This window comes from Homo sapiens, chromosome 19, assembly GCF_000001405.40.
Source record: "Homo sapiens chromosome 19, GRCh38.p14 Primary Assembly".
Lineage (NCBI taxonomy): Eukaryota > Metazoa > Chordata > Mammalia > Primates > Hominidae > Homo > Homo sapiens.
The window spans coordinates 40504649-40521468 of NC_000019.10; the positions used below are offsets into that span (position 1 = coordinate 40504649).

At 50.7% G+C, this 16820-nt stretch overlaps 1 protein-coding gene across 5 annotated transcripts in view; it reads left to right on the forward strand.

Moving 5' to 3' along the window:
- SPTBN4 (spectrin beta, non-erythrocytic 4) overlaps positions 1 to 16820 on the forward strand; it is a 109464-nt gene that overhangs the window by 37648 nt on the left and 54996 nt on the right. For all 5 annotated transcript variants that reach the window (NM_020971.3, XM_017027051.2, XM_017027052.2 and 2 more), the window contains 4 exons: positions 1588 to 1738; positions 7958 to 8906; positions 10663 to 10800; positions 14753 to 15503. In NM_020971.3, the coding sequence (NP_066022.2) occupies positions 1588 to 1738; positions 7958 to 8906; positions 10663 to 10800; positions 14753 to 15503 (1989 nt within the window). The remainder of the gene's footprint in view (positions 1 to 1587; positions 1739 to 7957; positions 8907 to 10662; positions 10801 to 14752; positions 15504 to 16820) is intronic.

Below are 16820 nucleotides of genomic sequence, written 5' to 3' on the forward strand. Positions count from 1 at the left end.
ACAGAGCGAGACTCCGTCTCAAAAAAAAAAACAAAAAAAACAAAAAACAATTAGCTGGGCGTGGTGGCGTGTGCCTGTAGTCCTAGCTATTTGGGAGGCTGAGGCTCAAGAATTGCTTGAATCCAGGAGGCAGAGGCTGCAGTAAGCCAAGGTGGTGCCACTGCACTCCATCCAGCCTGAGTGACAGAGTTTGATTCTGTTTCAAAAAAAAAGAGAGAAATGAAAAAAGACATAGAGATATAGAAACAGAGTAAACCAGGGATGCAGACAGAGAGATAGTGACAGTTTGAGAGAGAGGAAATCAGAGAGACAGAGAGAGGAGAAGGCAGACACAAAGGTGACATGGAAATCTACATGACTACAGAGAAAGATACAGGAAGATGGAATCAATTTAAGAGAGAGAGAGAGAGACCTACCAGATCTAGAGAGAGATGAGACAAGAAAGATAGAAGCCAGCTGGGCATGGTGGCTCTCACCTGCGGTACCAGCACTTTGGGAGGCCGAGGTAGGCAGATTGCTTGAGCCCCAGAGTTTGAGACCAGCCTGATCAACATAGTGAGATCCTGTCTGTACAAAAAAAAAAAAAAAAAAAATTAGCTAGGCGTGGTGGTGTGCGCTTGTAGTCCCAGCTACTCTGAAGTGGGAGGATCGCTTGAGCCCAGGAGGTTGAGGCTGTGTGAGCCATGATTGCACCACTACACTTCAACCTGGATGACAGAGTGAGACCCTGTCTCAAAAAAAAAAAAAAAAAAAAAAGAAGAAGCCGGGCACGGTGGCTCACACCTGTAATCCCAGCACTTTGGGAGGCTGAGGCAGGCAGATCATCTGAGGTCAGGAGTTCAAGACCAGCCTGGCCAACATGGCGAAACCCCATCTCTACTAAAAAATACAAAAATTAGCCGGGCGAAGTACATCTAATCGGGAGGCAGGAGAATCACTTGAACCTGGGAGGTGGAGTTTGCAGTGAGCTGAGATCGCGCCACTGCACTCCAGCCTGGGTGACAGAGGCAGACTCTGTCTCAAAAAAAGAAGAAGAAAAAAGAATGAAAGGGAGGAAGGAAGGAAGGAAGGAAGGAAGGAAGGAAGGAAGGAAGGAAGGAAGGAAGAAAGAAAGGTGAACAGGAGACACAGACAGGAAGGTGAACAGGAGATGGAGAGAAAGAGAAAAGGGTAGAAATGTAGAAAGAGAGGCAGAGAAAGATGGAGACAAAGATGTATAGATAAGAAAGACATGGAGGCAGAGAGTGAGCCACTGTGACAGAGACAGAGCCCAGAAATGTGGAGTCCACGAGAGATGGAAACATTCAGAGAGAGACTGGTAGAGAGAGAGGGAGACAGAGACAGAACACCATGGCTAGCTGTGAGAGCTGACAGCAGCTGGGGCTCAGCTTTTTTCTTTCTGATGAGGAAACCGAGGTCCAGGCCACAGAGCTGGTAAGAGAGTCTTGAGGCTGGTCCATATCTCTCCAAGAGGGTCAGAGTCGGGAGTGATGGTGCAGAGTAGCAGGGGCTGGCATAGGCAATGGGGGAGAGGTGAGTGGCCCAGGGCAGTGCCAGAGGTGTGCTCAGTGCTGTCCCCGCTTGTAGGCTCAGCTGCTGTCCCGGGAGTGTGGGCAGCACCTGGTGGAGGCAGACGACCTGTTGCAGAAGCATGGACTGCTGGAGGGAGACATTGCCGCCCAGAGCGAGCGGGTGGAGGCTCTCAATGCCGCTGCCCTGCGCTTCTCCCAGCTGCAGGGTGAGTCTTGGGGCTGGGGCTGGGGCTATGGGTGGAGACTGTCAGGACTGGTGCTAATAGAGGCAAGAGTGACTCCTGAGAGAAGGAAAGAGTGAGCTCCTTGTCCTTGGAGGCATTTAAGCAGAGCCTAAGATTACATTCCACTGGGGAAGTCATAGGGAGAATCAGTGCCCTGAGTGGCAGGATGGGCCACTCGACCTCTTCCTGCTTTAGATTCTGCAGTAATAACCCACATTTATTGAGCACTTGTTATGTGCCAAGCCCTTCACAGATTGATCTCAACGAATACCATTTAAAAAGACTTGTGTGGGCTGGGCACGGTGGCTCATGCCTATAATTCCAGCCCTTTTGGAGGCCGAGGCAGGAGGATCACTTGAGCCCAGGAATTCAAGACCAGCCTGGCCAACATAGAAAGACATCATCTGTACCAAAATAAATAAATAAATAAATTAGCCAGGCACGGTGATACAAGCCTGTAGTGCCAGCTATTTGGAGGCTGAGGCAGGAGGCTCACTTGAGGCCAGGAATTGGAGGCTTCAGTGAGCCATGATCATGCCACTACACTCCAGCCTGGGTGACACAGTGAGATCTTGTCTCTTAAAAAACCAAAAAGAAAACTTGTGCTAAGTAATGTTAATCAGGGCCTATTTAACACAAGTGATAGAAACTCAGTTCAAATGGCTTAAGGTGAAAAGGAGTGGATTGGCTAATGTAACCAAAATGTTCAGGGAAGCCTAGTCAACATGGCGAAACCCCGTCTCTACCAAAAATACAAAAAATTAGGTAGGCATGGTGGTGCACGCCTGTAGTCCCAGCCACTGCAGAGGCTGAGGTGGGAGAATCACCTGAGCCTGGGAAGTCGAGGCTGCAGTAAGCCAAGATTGTGCCACTAAACTCCAGCCTGGGCAACTGGACTGAGACCCTGTCAGCAAAAAAATAAAATAAAAAAAAAAAAAGTCTGGGGAAGGGTGGGTTTTACCTCAGGCATGGCTGGATCCAGGTATGGCTCAAGGGTGCTTTTAGGACTCCATCTGAGACCAGGCATGGTGTCTCATGCCTGTAATTCCAGAGCTTTGGGAGGCAAAGATGTGAGGATTGCTTGAGGCCAGGAGTTTTGGGCAACATAGTGAGACCCCATCTCTATATCAAAAAAGAAAAAAAAAAGAAAAAGACTCAGGCCAGGCACGGTGGCTCATGCTTGTAATCCTAACACTTTGGAAGGCCGAGGCAGGCGGATCACTTGAGGTCAGGCTTTGGCCAACATGGTGAAACTCCGTCTCTTCTAAAAATACAAAAAAATTAGCCGGACATAGTGGTGCACACCTGTAATCCTAGTTACTCAGGAGGCTGAGGTGGGAGGATTGCTTGAACCCAGGAGGCAGAGGTTGCCATGAGCCGAGATCGCACCACTGCACACTCCAGCCTAGGTGACAGAGCGAGACTCCTTCTCAAAACAAAAACAAAAGACTCCATCTCTCTCGTCTCTCTCCATCACTAGTCTTTGTGTTAGTGTCACTGTTGAGCAGTCCTGTCCCTTGTGGTATAAATCTGGGATCATTCAGCCCCAGGTATACAGCCTAACAGGTTAGCAGAGCCAATGGGACCCAGGCCCCTTTCTCCCAAGAGTTCTGACAAAAAGTCCTAGGAGAGCTTGCATTGGCTCACAGTGGGTTCCATCATTGCTCAGCCAATCATTGTGGCCCCAGGGCATGCAGTGATCTAATCGGCCACATGCATGTGACCTGCCTACCCCAGGGCCAGGAGTGGGGTCAGCCCATTACAAAGGCTTAGACTGAAAAAGAGGAGAGAGGGACGGCCTTACCAGATATGGATGGGACATGGATGCTGATAGGCAAAACCAAGACTGGCTCTAATAAGGTTCCTGTCTTACTTATGTCAATGCCCTCCAGCCAGAGACCACCAGGAGTCCCTCTGTGGTCAAACGAAGTTGGGTTTGGTGGCTCTTTACACCCACCATGGGGAGCTGTGGGGCTTCTCAGCAAGAAAGTATGATGGGGGGCTAGGCGCGGTGGCTCACGCCTGTAATCCCAGCACTTTGAGAGGCCAAGGTAGGTGGATCACATGAGGTCAGGAGTTCGAGACCAGCCTGGCCAACATGGTGAAACCCCATCCCTACTAAAAATACAAAAAATTAATTTGGTGTGGTGGCATGAGCCTGTAATCCCAGCAACCCAGAAGGCTGAGGCAGGAGAATCGCTTGAATCTGGGAGGCGGAGGTTGCAGTGAGCCTAGATCGTGCCACTGCACACCAGCCTGGGCAACAGAGCGAGACCTCATCTCAAAGAAATATATATATATATATGACTGGTGGCTTATTGTAGGATTTGGGCTTGTGTTAGGTGATTTGGAAGATGATTCAGTGTAGTGAGTTTTGCTGTGGATTGGATGCTGTCAGAATATGGGGGTGACTAGGTGATTGGGGGTCTTAATCATTTTGATCTAGGTGGTGGGAGGAAGAGAAGGAGGCTGTTGCATTCATTGGCAGCTGTCATTCATCTGAGCCGGCGAGGGGATGCGTGGTCATTTTTGTGGTTTGCACAGTGACCTTGATTTTGTCTGTGCTCAGGCAAGATTATGGAGCGAGCTTGGTTTTGTCCTACTCCATCGTGGTCAGAGTGGCCCCATCTGATATGAGCGTTCTGTGAGTTTTTTTTATTATTATTGTTGTTGTTTATTGCTTTTTTTTTTTTTTTTTTTAGACACTTGATCTCTCTATGTTACCCAGGCTGGTCTTGAACTCCTGGGCTCAAGCAATCCTCCCGCTTCCACCTCCCAGAGTGTTGGGATTACAGACGTGAGCCATTGTCCCTGGCCATTTCTGTGAGATTATTATTTTTACTTATTTATTTATTTTTGAGATGGAGTTTTGCTCTTGTTGTCCAGGCCAGATTGCAATGGCGCGATCTCGGCTCACTGCAACCTCTGCCTCCTGGGTTCAAGCGATTCTTCTGCCTCAGCCTCCCGAGTAGCTGGGATTATAGGCATGCGCCACCATGTCCGGCTAATTTTGTATTTTTAGTAGAGACTGGGTTTCTCCATGTTGGTCAGGCTGGTCTCAAACTCTTGACCTCAGGTGATCTGCCCGCTTTGTCTTCCCAAAGTGCTGGGATTACAGGTGTGAGGCACTGCGCTTGGCCTGTGAGATTATTTATACTCCTCAGAACACGATGGCTAGCCCTGAGTGCTGACGGCAGTTGGGGCTGCTTTATTTCTTTCTCACTGATGAGGAAACTGAGGCCCAGGCCATGGAGCTGATAAGAGGGTCTTGAGGCTGGTCCGTATCTCTCCATTAAGATGTTCTCCTCCTTTATCTGGAGCCCACAGCCCTTTGGAATCTTGGAGCATTATTCGAAAAGGAAGAACCTGTCTGGCTTGCAGGTTGATGGGGAAGTTTCTCACCCTAGCCGACCTGGGTCACATCCTAAATGCAAATGCTGAAGTTTCCCTCCACGCCCTGGTGTGGACATCCTGACCCTGGCTCAGCTCCCTCCCATCCCCATCTCACCTCCAGGGGAGGTTGTTGGGACCCTCTCCTTCACCTTAGCTAGGTTTGTCTCAGGAAGCTCCCTTTGCCCTCGCCTTGTGAATTCTCGGCTCCTGTGACAATCAGCAGCTCCGAGAATACAGCAGAGGGGCCAGTGTGGGGAGTGCGAGTGTGGGGAGTGCGTTGTCATGGGGATGGGAGGCAGCGCTTCCTGATGGGTGGTCCAGAGTGTGAGCTCCTGATGGGCCACTTCTTAGCTGATCCTAGGGCAATCCTTCCCCTCTCTGAGGCTCAGTCTCTTAATCTGGAAAATGGGGCTGATAAGGACACTGGCCTCATAGGATGGTTGTGAGAATCAAATGACATTGTGTCAGAGTAAGGGCTGGGTACATGGAAGCTGTTTTTTTTTTGTTGTTGTTGTTTTGTTTTCTAAGACAGAGTCTCACTCTGTTGCCCAGGCTGGAGTACGGTGGCACTATCTCGGCTCACTGCAGCATCAACATCCCTGGCTCAAGTGATCTTCCCACTTCAGCCTCCCGAGTAGCTGAGACTACAGGTGCACGCCACCATGCCCAGCTAATTTTTGTATTTTTGGTAGAGATGGGGTTTTGCCGTGTTACCCAGGCTGGTCTCAAACTGCTGACCTCAAGTGATCTGCCTGCTTCGGCCTCCCAAAGTTAGGATTACAGGTGTAAGCCACTGCGCCTAGCAAGAAGCTGTTGTTATTGTAACTATTATTCAGTTGGATACCTTGTGGTTTGAGTCAACATCAGCGAATGTCCAGAATTACAGAAATCCCGCATTCCACATAGGGCAGTGTCTCACTTTTATGATCCAGTAAGAAATACACAGCCAGGCAGTGGCTCACGCCTGTAATCCCAGTACTTTGGGAGGCCAAGGTGGGTGAATTTCTTCAGCCCAGATATTGGAGACCAGCCAGCGAGACTCTATTTCTACAAGAAACTTAGAAAAAAAATTAGCCAGGCATGGTGTTGTGGGCCCATAGTCCCAGCTACTCAGGAAGCTGAGGCGGGAGGATTACTTGAGCCCAGGAGTTGGAGGCTGCAGTGAGCCATGATCATGCCACTGCACTCCAGCCTGGGTGATAGAGTGATACCCTATCTCTAAAATAAATAAATAAATAAATAAACACACTTACCTCATGACTCACAGTTCACATGCATACATGGGCACACAGGCTAACACAGAGGTTTTATAAAACAATACTTCCAGGCTGGGCGCGGTGGCTCAGGCCTGTAATCCCAGCATTTTAGGAGGCTGAGGGGGGCGGATCATGAGGTCAGGAGTTCGAGACCAGTCTGGCCAACATAGCGAAACCCCATCTCTACTAAAAATACAAAAAAAAATTAGCTGGACATGGTGGCACGCGCCTGTAATCCCAACTACTCTGGAGGCTGAGGCAGGAGAATCACATCAACCTGGGAGGTGGAGGCTGCAGTGAGCTGAGATCAAGCCATTGCACTCCAGCCCAGGCGACAGTGAGAGACTCTGTCTCAATCAAACAAACAAACAATACCAAACAACAACAGCAACAACAACAAAAATACTCCCCCGACCTTGTTTTGCATTGTGATATTTTCCGTTCCTTCTATTCTATTCCACCAAACAAATGCTGGCTGTGACCCATTAAATTAACTTCACTGTTTTCTAGTCGCCAACTAGCCATCCAGGAGGAAGGTGAACTATTTAAGGAAAAAGAGGGAGTTCGGGGTTAAGCACAGTGGCTCATGCCTATAATCCCAACACTTCGGGAGGCCAAGTGGAAGGATTGCTTGAGGCCAGCCGTTCAAGACCAGCCTGGCCAACATAGTGAGATCCTGTCTCTATTTTAAAAAGAAAAAGGAGTGCAGATAACCACTGGGATTGATAGATAATGCAACAGAGGATGACAGAGGGAACCTAGAAACATGGTTTAAGAAAAGAGAAGTTGGCCGGTGGCAGTGGCTCATGCCTGTAATCCCAGCAGTTTAGGAGGCCAAGGCGGGTGGATCACTGGAGGTCAGGAGTTTGAGACCAGCCTGGCCAGCATGGTGAAACCCCGTCTCTACTAAAAATACAAAAATGAGCCAGGCGTGGTGGCGGGCGCCTGTAATCCTAGCTACTGGGGAGGCTGAGGCAGGAGAATCGCTTAAACCTGGAGGTGGAGGTTGCAGTGAACCGAGATCGCGCTACTGCACTCCAGCCTGGGCAACAGAGTAAGAATCTGTCTCAAACACACAAACAAACAAAAAACAAAGAAGTTTCATTTGACTCAGTTCTGACATAAGCACAATTTTCACTCAAATATACAGAATCTGAGATGCTCTGAATCCATCCATCATTCAGTCAACAAATCACTACATTCACTAGGCTACAGCTCTGGGCTCCACCCTTTGCTGGGCAGTGTTTGGGATAGGGTGTGACAGACCCAGGTCCTGCCCTTAAGGAGCTCTCAGTCCAGTGGGGGAGACAGGACAAGGCAATGACAACACAGAGTAGTCAGGGCTAGGATGGGGAAGCAGAGAAGCCTGAGAGGGTCGAGGAGGAGCCTGCTCCAGCCTTGGGGTGTCAGGGAAGGCTGCCTGGAGGAGGAGCCACGTGACCCGGCATCTGATGAAGTCACACCAAGGACAGGGTAGGTAGCCCGCACCATCCTCTCTTGGGCGCCCCTTGGCTTGTGACCAATCCTGGATGCTCCCCTTCTCCTGGCTCAGGCTACCAGCCCTGCGACCCGCAGGTCATCTGCAACCGCGTGAACCACGTGCACGGCTGCCTGGCGGAGCTGCAGGAGCAGGCAGCGCGGCGACGCGCGGAGCTGGAGGCTTCGCGGAGCCTGTGGGCGCTGCTGCAGGAGCTGGAGGAGGCCGAGAGCTGGGCGCGCGACAAGGAGCGTCTCCTGGAGGCTGCGGGCGGCGGCGGTGCGGCGGGCGCAGCGGGCGCAGCGGGAACAGCGGGCGGCGCGCATGACCTGTCCAGCACAGCGCGCCTCCTGGCCCAGCACAAGATCCTGCAGGGCGAGCTGGGCGGGCGGCGAGCGTTGCTGCAGCAGGCCCTGCGGTGTGGCGAGGAGCTGGTTGCGGCCGGCGGTGCCGTCGGCCCGGGAGCAGACACCGTGCACCTGGTAGGCCTGGCGGAGCGCGCGGCGAGCGCCCGGCGCCGCTGGCAGAGGCTGGAAGAGGCGGCGGCGCGGCGAGAGCGGCGGCTGCAGGAGGCGCGGGCGCTGCACCAGTTCGGCGCTGACCTCGACGGGCTGCTGGACTGGCTTCGCGACGCTTACCGCCTGGCAGCCGCCGGTGACTTCGGCCACGACGAAGCTTCCAGCCGCCGCCTGGCGCGCCAGCACCGCGCGCTCACCGGGGAGGTGGAGGCACATCGCGGGCCCGTGAGCGGCCTGCGGCGCCAGCTGGCGACACTCGGGGGTGCCAGTGGCGCAGGGCCACTGGTGGTGGCGCTGCAGGTGCGCGTGGTGGAAGCAGAGCAGTTGTTCGCTGAGGTGACCGAAGTGGCGGCGCTGAGGCGCCAGTGGCTGCGGGACGCGCTCGCTGTCTACCGCATGTTTGGCGAGGTGCACGCGTGTGAGCTGTGGATCGGCGAGAAGGAGCAATGGCTGCTCTCCATGCGTGTGCCGGATTCACTCGACGACGTCGAGGTGGTGCAGCACCGGTGAGCGCGCACATGTGGGACTCCGGGGTCCCCTTCCTCATGCACCCAGTCTCACCTTCATTGGCTCAACAGTTCCCATGTTTGCTCAGCTGGAACTAGGAGTTCCAATCCCTGCTTCACCCATAGCCAGCTTTGTGACAGTTCTGCAACCTGCCTAATCTTCCTGAACCTCAGCTTGCCCACCTGTATAATGGGGGTGATATTAGTCCCTACCCAGGCTTGTGATGAACGGTAAATGAGTTCATACATGCAGAATACGAAGCAAATGCCTGGGGGTAGAGGAAGCATTCCCCCAGCATTTGCTCTTGTTACCCAGGCTTACATTCGCCAAGCATGAAATCAACGACCTATGCTTCTACAGGGACACCTCAGCCTGGCCCCTCTGCTGGGAGGCCTCCCATTGCTTCTGCATAAATGTCACCTCCCTAGCTACTAAAATAGCTCTGACTCTTGTGATTTTCCATTGTTTCATCCTGTTTTACATTTCTTTGTAGCACTTACCATCCCATGACATATTGTATACTGACTTGTCTGTTGGCTGACTTAGCAATGAGTTGTTCAATTAGTGGGTGAACAATGCCTATTCCCCCTCTGCACCACTCTGTCTGAGCATCTTATTCATCCATACATTCATTCAGCAGGTGTTTACTGAGTGCCTATGCCTTTCTAGGTCTTGTGCTGGGCACTGCTGGAAACACAGGGCTGCTCCTTGCCCCTACTGTGCCTGCAGTTGCCCAGTTCTTTGAAACATTGATTTAAAGATGGGAGGACCATGTCTAGCTTAAAGTAGACCTCAGTGGCTGCCATGTGGAGGGCAGGTTGGAGCGGGTAAGAGTTGTGGCTGGGAACCCAGAGAGGCAACTGGGCTGGGGACCCAGATGGAGCGGAACAAGATTAGACCAGGGCGGGAGGTAAGTAAACAGGCCATGGAGACTGATGGGCTGGAGCGATTTTCCAAAACAAAGCCCAGGGCTCTGGCCTGGCAGATGACAGTGCTGTCCCCAACATGGGGGCCCAGAGGAAGAACAAATTTGAGTCAGGTGGGTGTGAATAGCCCCAAGAAGGTATACAGTAGGCTTTGAGGTCGAAGACAGGTTCAAAAGGTAAGAGGTTGAGGCTGGAGACTGAGGTGTGACTGTCATGAGTTCAGGGGCAAAGACCAAGGCTGTGGGGCTGGGTGGAATCATTGAAGAAGGGTGTGAAGGAAAACCCAGAGGGCTCAGGGTGGAGTTGCTGCTGAGGAATCTCACATTTAAACATCAGGTAGAGGCTGGGCGTGGTGGCTCACGCCTGTAATCCCAGTACTTTGGGAGGCCAAGGCAGGTGGATCATATAAGATCAGGAGTTGGAGACCAGCCTGGCTAACATGGTGAAATCCCGTTTCTACTAAAAATAGAAAAGTTAGCTGGGCGTGGTGGCGCATGCTTGTAATCCCAGCTACATGGGAGGCTGAGACATGAGAATCGCTTGAATCCGGGAGGCAGAGGTTGCAGTGAGCCACAATCGCGCCACTGCACTCCAGCCTGGGTGACAGAGCGAGACTCTGTCTCAATACATACATACATAAATTAATTAAATTAAATTAAATAAGTTAAATTAAATTAAATAAAATAAGCAGCAAGTAGAAGAGAAGGAGCCCACAAAGGAGGCTGAAAAGAAGGGTGGATTGAGAATTAGGAGTAGAACCAGTAGAAGGTATTTCATAAAACCAAGGTCCGCAGGGTTCGGGTGTCTGAGCATCTCCATCCTCCTGCAGATTCGAGAGCCTGGACCAAGAGATGAACAGCCTGATGGGCCGCGTTCTGGACGTGAACCACACAGTCCAGGAGCTGGTGGAAGGAGGCCACCCCAGTTCAGATGAGGTGCGTTCCTGCCAGGACCACCTCAACAGCAGGTAGGAGGGCCTGGGGCTGGGAGTCCCTCCCATCCTTCCCTTCCACACTCACACAGCCATGGACAGCAAGATGTGCAATCTCAAACCCCTGGAATCATAATGGCCACCCGATAAATCAACAAAATGTTGACCAAAAATCATAATCCCTGATACTGGTGATGACGTGGTAAAATTAAAACAACATTTCAGTTGGCTGTTCATTTATTTGTCCAGAAAGAATGTATTGGATATCTACAATCTGCCAGGAGTATTCCCAAGCACTTTATATACCTTTCTAAAGTATCCCAACATTCTTCCGGGCACAGTGGCTCATACTGTAATCCCAGCACTTCAGGAGGCTGAGATGGGTGGATCACTTGAGCTCATGAATTCAAGACCAGCCTGGGCAACATGGTGAAACCCCGTCTCTCTCTCTACGTGCGCGCACACACACACACACACACACACACACAAAATATATATATACACACACATATATATACACACATATATACGTATATATACACATATATACGTATATATACACATATATACGTATATATACACATATATACGTATATATACACACATATACGTATATATACACATATATATGTATATATATATACACACTATATATATGTATATATATATACAAAATTTAGCCAAGCATGGTGGTGCACATTTGTAGTCCCAGCTACATGGGAGGCTGAGTTGGGAGGATGCCTTGAGCCCAGGAGGTAGAGATTGCAGTGAGCAGAGATTGTGCCACTGCACTCCAGCCTGGGCAATAGAGCCAGACCTTGTCTCAAAAAAAAAAAAAAAAAAATTCCCAATATCCCAATTTCCATAGTAAAGATCCTAGAATTCAGAACTCTCTCTCTCTCTCTTTTGAGACAGGATCTTGCTCTGTTGCCCAGGTTGGAATACAGTGGCATGATCATGGCTCATTGCAGCCTCCAACACCTAGGCTCAAGCGATCCTCCCACCTCTGCCTCCTGAGGAACTGGGACTACAGGTGCATATCACCATGCCCAGCTAATTAAAAAAAATTTTTTTTGTAGAGACAGGGTCTCACTGTGTTGGCCATGCTGGTCTTACAACTCCTGGGCTCGGCTGGGCGTGGTAGCTCACACCTGTAATCCCAGCACTTTGGGAGGCCAAGGCAGGTGGATCACCTGAGGTCAGGAGTTCGAGACCAGCCTGACCAATATGGTGAAACCCCATCTCTACTAAAAATACAAAAATTATCCGGGCATGGTGGCATGTGCCTGTAGTCCTAGCTACTCAGGAGGCTGAGGCAGAAGAATTGCTTGAACCCGGGAGGCAGAGGCTACAGTGAGCCAAGATCACACCACTGCACTCCAGCCTAGGTGACAGAGCAAGAATCTATACCAAAACAGACAAACAAACAAACAAACAAACAAAAACCTCCTGGCCTCCTCCCACCTTGGCCTTCCAAAGAGCTGGGATTACAGTGTAAGCTACTGCTCCTAGCCCAGAACTCTTTAAGATAAGTAACAAACTAATATCAGTACCTCTGGAATACTACCAGCAATTCTCCCAGTGCAGGTGGGGTTCATAGATGAAGATACAAGTCCAAAAAGGTGAACTCCTTATCCAAGATTACTCAGTCTATAAGTAGGAGTCAAATACAGTTCTGGCTGAATCCTGAGCTGTAGCTGTTTATCTAATATATCCAGTCTTCCTGGTAACACTATGAGGTGGAAACTACCCCACATTAGAGAGGAGAAAACTGGATCTCAGAGAGGCGAAGATGGAGGCCCAAGGTTACACAGCAAGTTAGGGGATCAAACCGGGCTTTGAAGATGGATATGTTTGACTTCAAAGACTGTGCTCTTTTTTTTTTTTTCTTTCTTGAGACAGGGTCTTGCTCTTTCGCCCAGACTGGAGTGCAGTGGTACGATCATGGCTCACTACAGCCTTCACCGCCCCCGACCCGAGCTCAAGAAATCCTCCTGCCTCAGCCTCTTGAGTAGTGGGACTATGGATGCACACCACTGCACCCGGCTAATTTTTGTATTTTTTGTACAGATGGGGTCTCACTCTGTTGCCCAGACTGGTCTCGAACTCCTGGGCTCAAGTGATCTTCTGCCTTGGCCTCCGCAAGTGCTGGAATTACAGGCATGAGCCACTCTGCCCCACCCAAAGACTACGCTCTTGACTCTGTGCTGCAAGATTCCAATATCCAGGGATTTTAAAACCTCTGTAGCCAAGACCATCGCAAAGCATCCAGGCCTAAAAAAATAACTACAATCATAACGATTTACAGCATGTAGAGAGATCTATATGCCAAGTGCTTTAGCCACATGATCTCGTTACACACTCAATGAAGTGGACTTTATTATCCCCATTTTCCAGATGAGGAAACTGAAGATCAGAGAAGGAAATGATTTGCCCAAGGTCACATGGCAAATCTGGCCAGAGCAGAACTTGAACTCGGGTCTGCCTGATTTCAGAGTCCTAATCTCTGTCCTCATGGTGTGTCCATTCTAGAGGGGGCAGAAAGACAGTTAAATACACTAATAAATGGACAAGATATTTAGAGAATCATAATGGCTTTATGCAAGAAACAGGCAGGGCATGGTGGCTCACGCCTGTAATCCTAGCATTTTGGGAGGCCGAGGCAAGCAGATCACTTGAGGTCAGGAGTTTGAGACCAGCCTGGCCAATGTGATGAAACCCCATCTCTATTAAAAATATAAAAACTAGCCGGGTGTGGTGGTGCACGCCTGTAATCCCAGCTACTTGGGAGGCTGAGGCAGGAGAATCCCATGAACCTGGGAGGCGGAGGTTGCAGTGAGCTGAGATCGTGCCACTGCACTCCAGCCTGGGCAACAGAGCAAGACTCTGTCTAAAAAAGAAAACAAAATTTAAAAAACCCAAACTATTGAGGACCCCAAGAGCTTGTTTTAGTGGGTCATATCTATTGCTATTTACTATATTAGAACTTAGTACTGAGAAAATTTAAAATGTTTTTATTTTTATTTATTTATTTTGAGACAGGGTCTCATTACTCTGTCACCCAGGCTGGAGTGCAGTGGCACAATCATGGCTCACTGCAGCCTCGACTTCGCAGGCTCCAGCAATCCTCCCATCTCAGCCTCCCAAGTAGCTGGGACCATAGGTGTGCACCCCCACGCCCAGCTAATTTTTGTATTTTAGGAGTCTCACCATGTTGCCCAGGCTGCTCTCCAACTCCTGAGCTCAAGCGATCCACCTGCTTCCGTCTTCCAAAGTGCTGGGATTACAGGTGTGAACCACTGCACCCGGCTGAGAAATTTGAAAACATTATTTAAAAATAACAATACACTGGGAGTGGTGCGTGCCTGTTAGACCTGTGAGGCTGAGGTGGGAGGACCGCTTGAGCCTGCGAATTGGAGGCTTCAGTGTGCCATAAACGAGTTCATGAATAGCCACTGCGTTCTAGCCTGGGCAACATAGTGAGATCTCACGTCTTAAAAAAATTTTTTTAAATCTAAATATCTAACGTGTTAATATAACTTTTTTATTAAAAATAACTTTTCATAACACAAAATGTACTAAGAGTGGCATTGTTTCGTACCTTTGCAAATCTCTTTAAAGTCTGGTTTAAGAGATGGCAGCTGGGCTTCTCTTAAATCAGAGTCGGCTTCTGCTCTCAGTCTCTCCTGCCGCCTCTGGAAAACTCCACTGAACACTCGGGAAAGAATGAGAGTGAAAAAGCAAATGGCGTCTTAACACATTTTTATGAAGATAGTTTTGTCCTCTATCAGATTACATGTTGAGAATGGCTGCCCTAAGCAAAAGTGCTGCGTAGGGTTCCATTTTACACCGGCAGAAACTGGAGAAACTTTCTGAGGTCACACAGTGGCTGGGTGGCTTGGGCCTGGATTCTACCCTGGGTCGGCGGGCCCTCCGCGCCCAAGAGGAGTCCCTGTCCTCCTCAAGTCACTCTCTTTCCCCTGGGCAGGTGGAACCGCATCGTGGAGCTAGTGGAACAGCGCAAAGAGGAAATGAGCGCGGTGCTGCTGGTGGAGAACCACGTGCTGGAGGTGGCCGAGGTGCGCGCCCAGGTGCGTGAGAAGCGGAGAGCTGTGGAGAGCGCGCCCCGGGCCGGCGGCGCCCTGCAGTGGCGTCTTAGCGGCCTAGAGGCCGCTCTGCAGGCGCTGGAGCCGCGCCAGGCGGCCCTTCTGGAGGAGGCAGCCCTGCTGGCTGAGCGCTTCCCGGCGCAGGCGGCGCGGCTGCACCAGGGCGCGGAGGAGCTGGGCGCCGAGTGGGGCGCGCTAGCTAGCGCGGCTCAGGCCTGCGGCGAGGCGGTGGCGGCAGCAGGGCGCCTGCAGCGCTTCCTACATGACCTCGACGCTTTCCTGGACTGGCTCGTGCGCGCCCAGGAGGCGGCGGGCGGCAGCGAGGGGCCCCTGCCCAACAGCCTAGAAGAGGCGGACGCGCTGCTGGCGCGCCACGCTGCGCTCAAGGAGGAGGTGGACCAGCGCGAGGAAGACTATGCTCGCATCGTGGCGGCCAGCGAGGCGCTGCTGGCCGCCGACGGCGCAGAGCTGGGCCCGGGCCTGGCACTAGACGAGTGGCTGCCACACCTCGAACTTGGCTGGCATAAACTGCTCGGCTTGTGGGAGGCGCGCAGGGAGGCGCTGGTCCAGGCGCACATCTACCAGCTCTTCCTGCGGGATCTACGCCAGGCGCTCGTGGTGCTGCGTAACCAGGTGCCCACTCGGGGTGTACATTTCGGAGAGGGAGAGTCCGAGGCCGCGGGGGGATTGCAGGGACAGGGACATGCGGGGGTGGGGAGGAGGGTGTTTCCTGGGACCACTGGGTTCTGAGGTGGGTGGGAGGTGAGAGAGTATCCGGAATGGATAACTGAGTTTGTGGAACATCCAGTGTGTGTGGAAGTGTGTATGTAACAGAATTTGAGGAGTATCATCAGTGGGGTAGGTTGGTGTCTTATCGGAGGTGACAGTTTGTGGGCTATCCCGAGTAAGTAATGCACGAGGATATTTATTGGAGTGGCTTCCTGGGTTCGTGGATTATCTGAAAGGAAATAAGACTATGAGGTTGATTGGCGATGGTTAAATGGGGTTCAAAGAAGATCTTGGTATGGATAACAAAGGATTAGGATTATGGAGGTAGGTAACAGGCTGAGGGGTTATTGGAGTCAGTCAGTGATTGTGGATTACATGGTGTGGATGGCTAAATTAGCACAATATCTTCATTTCTGGGAATGACAACTATGGATTCTCTGGAGAGAGTAACTGTGTCTGTGGCATGAGGAACCAAGTGCAGTGGTTATCTGGGGACAGCCAATCCAGTTGGGAGATCACTCTGGGATGGGAACCAAGTTTGAGAATTTTGGCAAGATGGAACAGCCAGTTTTCAGATTGTCCAGTGTTTGGGGATCATGTTAGAAAGGGTGCCTGCCTGTACTGGTTATATAAGGGATGCTGACCCAGTTTGAGGATTATCTACAGCAGTGGTCCCCAATCTTTTTTTTTTTTCTTTAGATAGAGTCTTGCTCTGTAGCTAGGCTGGAGGGCAGTGGCGTGATCTCAGCTCACTGAAACCTCAGCCTCCCGGGTTCAAACGATTCTCCTGCCTCAGCCTCCCAAGTAGCTGGGACTACAGGCGCGAGCCACCATGACCAGCTAATTTTTGTATTTTTAGTAGAGATGGGGTTTCACCATGTTGGCCAGGATGGTTTTGATCTCTTGACCTCATGATCCGCCTGCCTCGGCCTCCCAAAGTGTTGGGATTACAGACATGAGCCACTGCACCAGGCCCAGTCCCTAATCTTTTTGGCACCAAGGACTGGTTTTCTGGAAGACAATTTTTTCCACAAACCGGTGGGAAAAGGAGGAATGTTTTCAGGATGATTCAAGCGAATTACATTTATTGTGTGCTTTATTTCTATTGTTATTACATTATAACATATAATGAAATAATTATAAAACTCACTATAATGTAGAATCAGTGGGAGTCCTGAGCTTGTTTTCCTGCAACTAGACGTTCCCATCTAGTGACATCTA